General features: G+C 41.6%; 1 annotated feature.

Annotated features, from left to right (window-relative positions):
• Nucleotides 204–802: an enhancer, noted in NCBI's record as "NANOG-H3K27ac-H3K4me1 hESC enhancer chr6:95534248-95534846 (GRCh37/hg19 assembly coordinates)". NCBI's record gives its function as "activates a minimal SCP1, AML or CMV promoter by ChIP-STARR-seq in primed H9 embryonic stem cells {active_cell/tissue: H9 hESC(primed)}" and the evidence as "EXISTENCE:reporter gene assay evidence [ECO:0000049][PMID:30033119]".

Genomic DNA, 5933 nt, shown 5'->3' on the forward strand with positions numbered 1-5933 from the left:
GCGAGCCGAAGCAGGGCGAGGCATTGCCTCACTTGGGAAGCGCAAGGGGTCAGGGAGTTCCCTTTCTGAGTGAAAGAAAGGGGTGACAGACGCACCTGGAAAATCGGGTCACTCCCACCCGAATACTGTGCTTTTCCGAACGGCTTAAAAAAACGGCGCACCACGAGATTATATCCGGCACGTGGCTCAGAGGGTCCTACCCCCACAGAGTCTCGCTGATTGCTAGCACAGCAGTCTGAGATCAAACTGCAAGGCGGCAGCGAGGCTGGGGGAGGGGCGCCCGCCATTGCCCAGGCTTGATTAGGTAAACCAAGCAGCCAAGAAGCTCCAACTGGGTGGAGTTCACCACAGCTCAAGGAGGCCTGCCTGCCTCTGTAGGCTCCACTCTGGGGGCAGGGCACAGACAAACAAAAAGACAGCAGTAACCTCTGCAGACTTAAATGTCCCTGCCTGACAGCTTTGAAGAGAGCAGTGGTTCTCCCAGCACGCAGCTGGAGATTTGAGAATGGGCAGACTGCCTCCTCAAGTGGGTCCCTGACCCCCAAGCAGCCTAACTGGGAGGCACCCCCGAGCAGGGGCACACTGACACCTCACACAGCCGGGTACTCCTCTGAGACAAAACTTCAAGAGGAATGATCAGACAGCAGCATTCGCGGATGACGAAAATCCGTGGTTCTGCAGACACCGCTGCAGATACCCAGGCAAACAGGGTCTGGAGTGGACCTCTAGCGAACTCCAACAGACCTGCAGCTGAGGGTCCTGTCTGTTAGAAGGAAAACTAACAAACAGAAAGGACATCCACAACAAAAACGCATCTGTACATCACCATCATCAAAGACCAAAAGTAGATAAAACCACAAAGATGGGGAAAAAACAGAGCAGAAAAACTGGAAACTCTAAAAAGCAGAGCGCCTCTCCTCCTCCAAAGGAATGCAGTTCCTCACCAGCAATGGAACAAAGCTAGACGGAGAATGACTTTGACGAGTTGAGACAAGAAGGCTTCAGACGATCAAACTACTCCGAGCTACCGGAGGAAACTCAAACCAAAGGCAAAGAAGTTGAAAACTTTGAAACAAATTTAGATGAATGTATAACTAGAATAACCAATACAGAGAAGTGCTTAAAGGAGCTGATGGAGCTGAAAGCCAAGACTCGAGAACTACGTGAAGAATGCAGAAGCCTCAGGAGCTGATGTGATCAACTGGAAGAAAGGGTATCAGTGATGGAAGATGAAATGAATGAAATGAAGCGAGAAGGGAAGTTTAGAGATAAAAGAATAAAAAGAAATGAGCAAAGCCTCCAAGAAATATGGGACTATGTGAAAAGACCAAATCTACGTCTGATTGGTGTACCTGAAAGTGACGGGGAGAATGGAACCAAGTTGGAAAACACTCTGCAGGATATTATCCAGGAGAACTTCCCCAATCTAGCAAGGCAGGCCAACATTCAGATTCAGGAAATACAGAGAACGCCACAAAGATACTCCTCGAGAAAAACAACTCCAAGACACATAATTGTCAGATTCACCAAAGTTGAAATGAAGGAAAAAATGTTAAGGGCAGCCAGAGAGAAAGGTCGGGTTACCCACAAAGGGAAGCCCATCAGACTAACAGCTGATCTCTTGGCAGAAACTCTACAAGCCAGAAGACAGTGGGGGCCAATATTCAACATTCTTAAAGAAAAGAATTTTCAACCCAGAATTTCATATCCAGCCAAACTAAGCTTCATAAGTGAAGAAGAAATAAAATACTTTACAGACAAGCAAATGCTGAGAGATTTTGTCACCACCAGGCCTGCCATAAAAGAGCTCCTGAAGGAAGCACTAAACATGGAAAGGAACAACCGGTATCAGCTGCTGCAAAATCATGCCAAAATGTAAAGACCATCCAGGCTAGGAAGAAACTGCACCAACTAACGAGCAAAATAACCAGCTAACATCATAATGACAGGATCAAATTCACACTTAACAATATTAACTTTAAATGTAAATGGGCTAAATGCTCCAATTAAAAGACACAGACTGGCAAATTAGATAAAGAATCAAGACCCATCAGTGTGCTGTATTCAGGAAACCCATCTCACATGCAGAGACACACATAGGCTCAAAATAAAAGGATGGAGGAAGAACTACCAAGCAACTGGAAAACAAAAAAAGGCAGGGGTTGCAATCCTAGTCTCTGATAAAACAGACTTTAAACCAACAAAGATCAAAAGAGACAAAGAAGGCCATTACATAATGGTAAAGGCATCAATTCAACAAGAAGAGCTAACTATCCTAAATATATATGTACCCAATACAGGAGCACCCAGATTCATAAAGCAAGTCCTGAGTGACCTACAAAGAGACTTGGACTCCCACACAATAATAATGGGAGACTTTAACACCCCACTGTCAACATTAGACAGATCAACGAGACAGAAAGTTAACAAGGATACCCAGGAATTGAACTCAGCTCTGCACCAAGCAGACCTAATAGACATCTACAGAACTCTCCACCCGAAATCAACAGAATATACATTCTTTTCAGCACCACACCACACCTATTCCAAAATTGACCACATACTTGGAAGTAAAGCTCTCCTCAGCAAATATAAAAGAACAGAAATTATAACAAACTGTCTCTCAGACCACAGTGCAATCAAACTAGAACTCAGGATTAAGAAACTCACTCAAAACCACTCAACTACATGGAAACTGAACAACCTGCTCCTGAATGACTACTGGGTACATAATGAAATGAAGGCAGAAATAAAGATGTTCTTTGAAACCAGCGAGAACAAAGACACAACATACCAGAATCTCTGGGACACATTCAAAGCAGTGTGTAGAGGGAAATTTATAGCACTAAATGCCCACAAGAGAAAGCAGGAAATATCTAAAATTGACACCCTAACATCACAATTAAAAGAACTAGAAAAGCAAGAGCAAACACATTCAAAAGCTAGCAGAAGGCAAGAAATAACTAAAATCAGAGCAGAACTGAAGGAAATAGAGACACAAAAAACCCTTCAAAAAATTAATGAATCCAGGAGCTGGTTTTTTGAAAGGATCAACAAAATTGATAGACCGCTAGCAAGACTAATAAAGAAAAAGAGAGAACAATCAAACAGACGCAATAAAAAATGATAAAGGGGATATCACCACCGATCCCACAAAAATACAAACTACCATCAGAGAATACTACAAACACCTCTATGCAAATAAACTAGAAAATCTAGAAGAAATGGATAAATTCCTCAACACATACACTCTCCCAAGTCTAAACCAGGAAGAAATTGAATCTCTGAATAGACCAATAACAGGAGCTGAAATTGTGGCAATAATCAATAGCTTAACAACCAAAAAGAGTCCAGGACCAGATGGATTCACAGCCGAATTCTACCAGAGGTACAAGGAGGAACTGGTACCATTCCTTCTGAAATTATTCCAATCAATAGAAAAAGAGGGAATCCTCCCTAACTCATTTTATGAGGCCAGCATCATCCTGATGCCAAAGCCAGGCAGAGACACAACCAAAAAAGAGAATTTTAGACCAATATCCTTGATGAACATTGATGCAAAAATCCTCAATAAAATACTGGCAAACTGAATCCAGCAGCACATAAAAAAGCTTATCCACCATGATCAAGTGGGCTTCATCCCTGGGATGCAAGGCTGGTTCAATATATGCAAATCAATAAATGTAATCCAGCATATAAACAGAACCAAAGACAAAAACCACATGATTATCTCAATAGATGCAGAAAAGGCCTTTGACAAAATTCAACAACCCTACATGCTAAAAACTCTCAATAAATTAGGTATTGATGGGACGTATCTCAAAATAATAGGAGCTATCTATGACAAACCCACAGCCAATATCATACTGAATGGGCAAAAGCTGGAAGCATTCCCTTTGAAAACTGGCACAAGACAGGGATGCCCTCTCTCACCACTCCTATGCAACATAGTGTTGGAAGTTCTGGCCAGGGCAATTAGGCAGCAGAAGGAAATAAAGGGTATCAATTAGGAAAAGAGGAAGTCAAATTGTCCCTGTTTGCAGATGACATGATTGTATATCTAGAAAACCCCATTGTCTCAGCCCAAAATCTCCTTAAGCTGATAAGCAACTTCAGCAAAGTCTCAGGATACAAAATCAATGTACAAAAATCACAAGCATTCTTATACACCAATAACAGACAAACAGAGAGCCAAATCATGAGTGAACTGCCATTCACAATTGCTTCAAAGAGAATAAAATACTTAGGAATCCAACTTACAAGGGACGTGAAGGACCTCTTCAAGGAGAATTACAAACCAGTGCTCAATGAAATAAAAGAGGATACAAACAAATGGAAGAACATTCCATGCTCATGGGTAGGAAGAATCAATATCGTGAAAATGGCCATACTGCCCAAGGTAATTTATAGATTCAATGCCATCCCCATCAAGCTACCAATGACTTTCTTCACAGAATTGGAAAAAACTACTTTAAAGTTCATATGGAACCAAAAAAGAGCCTGCATCGCCAAGTCAATCCTAAGCCAAAAGAACAAAGTTGGAGGCATCACACTACCTGACTTCAAACTATACTACAAGGCTACAGTCACCAAAACAGCATGGTACTGGTACCAAAACAGAGATATAGATCAATGGAACATAACAGAGCCCTCAGAAATAATGCCGCATATCTACAACTATCTGATCTTTGAGAAACCTGAGAAAAACAAGCAATGGGGAAAGGATTCCCTATTTAATAAATGGTGCTGGGAAAACTGGCTAGCCATATGTAGAAAGCTGAAACTGGATCCCTTCCTTACACCTTACACAAAAATCAATTCAAGATGGATTAAAGACTTAAACGTTAGACCTAAAACTATAAAAACCCTAGAAGAAAACCTAGGCATTACCATTCAGGACATAGGCATGGGCAAGGACTTCATGTCTAAAACACCAAAATCAATTGCAACAAAAGACAAAATTGACAAATGGGATCTAATTAAACTAAAGAGCTTCTGCACAGCAAAAGAAACTACCATCAGAGTGAACAGGCAACATACAAAATGGGAGAAAATTTTCGCAACCTACTCATCTGACAAAGGGCTAATATCCAGAATCTACAATGAACTCAAACAAATTTACAAGAAAAAAACAAACAACCCCATCAAAAAGTGGGTGAAGGACATCAACAGACACTTCTCAAAAGAAGACATTTATGCAGCCAAAAAACACATGAAAAAATGCTCATCATCACTGGCCATCAGAGAAATGCAAATCAAAACCACAATGAGATACCATCTCACACCAGTTAGAATGGCAATCATTAAAAAGTCAGGAAACAACAGGTGCTGCAGAGGTTGTGGAGAAATAGGAACACTTTTACACTGTTGGTGGGACTGTAAACTAGTTCAACCATTGTGGAAGTCAGTGTGGCGATTCCTCAGGGATCTGGAACTGGAAATACCATTTGACCCAGCCATCCCACTACTGGGTATATACCCAAAGGACTATAAATCATGCTGCTATAAAGACACATGCACACGTATGTTTATTGCGGCATTATTCACAATAGCAAAGACTTGGAACCAACCCAAATGTCCAACAATGATAGACTGGATTAAGAAAATGTGGCACATATACACCATGGAATACTATGCAGCCATAAAAAATGATGAGTTCATGTCCTTTGTAGGGACATGGATGAAATTGGAAATCATCATTCTCAGTAAACTATCGCAAGAACAAAAAACCAAACACCGCATATTCTCACTCATAGGTGGGAATTGAACAATGAGATCACATGGACACAGGAAGGGGAATATCACGCTCTGAGGACTGTTGTGGGGTGGGGGGAGGGGGAAGGGATAGCATTGGGAGATACACCTAATGCTAGATGACGAGTTAGTGGGTGCAGCGCACCAGTATGGCACATGTATACATATGTAACTAACCT

Source organism: Homo sapiens, chromosome 6 (assembly GCF_000001405.40).
Source record: "Homo sapiens chromosome 6, GRCh38.p14 Primary Assembly".
NCBI classification, from domain to species: Eukaryota; Metazoa; Chordata; class Mammalia; order Primates; family Hominidae; genus Homo; species Homo sapiens.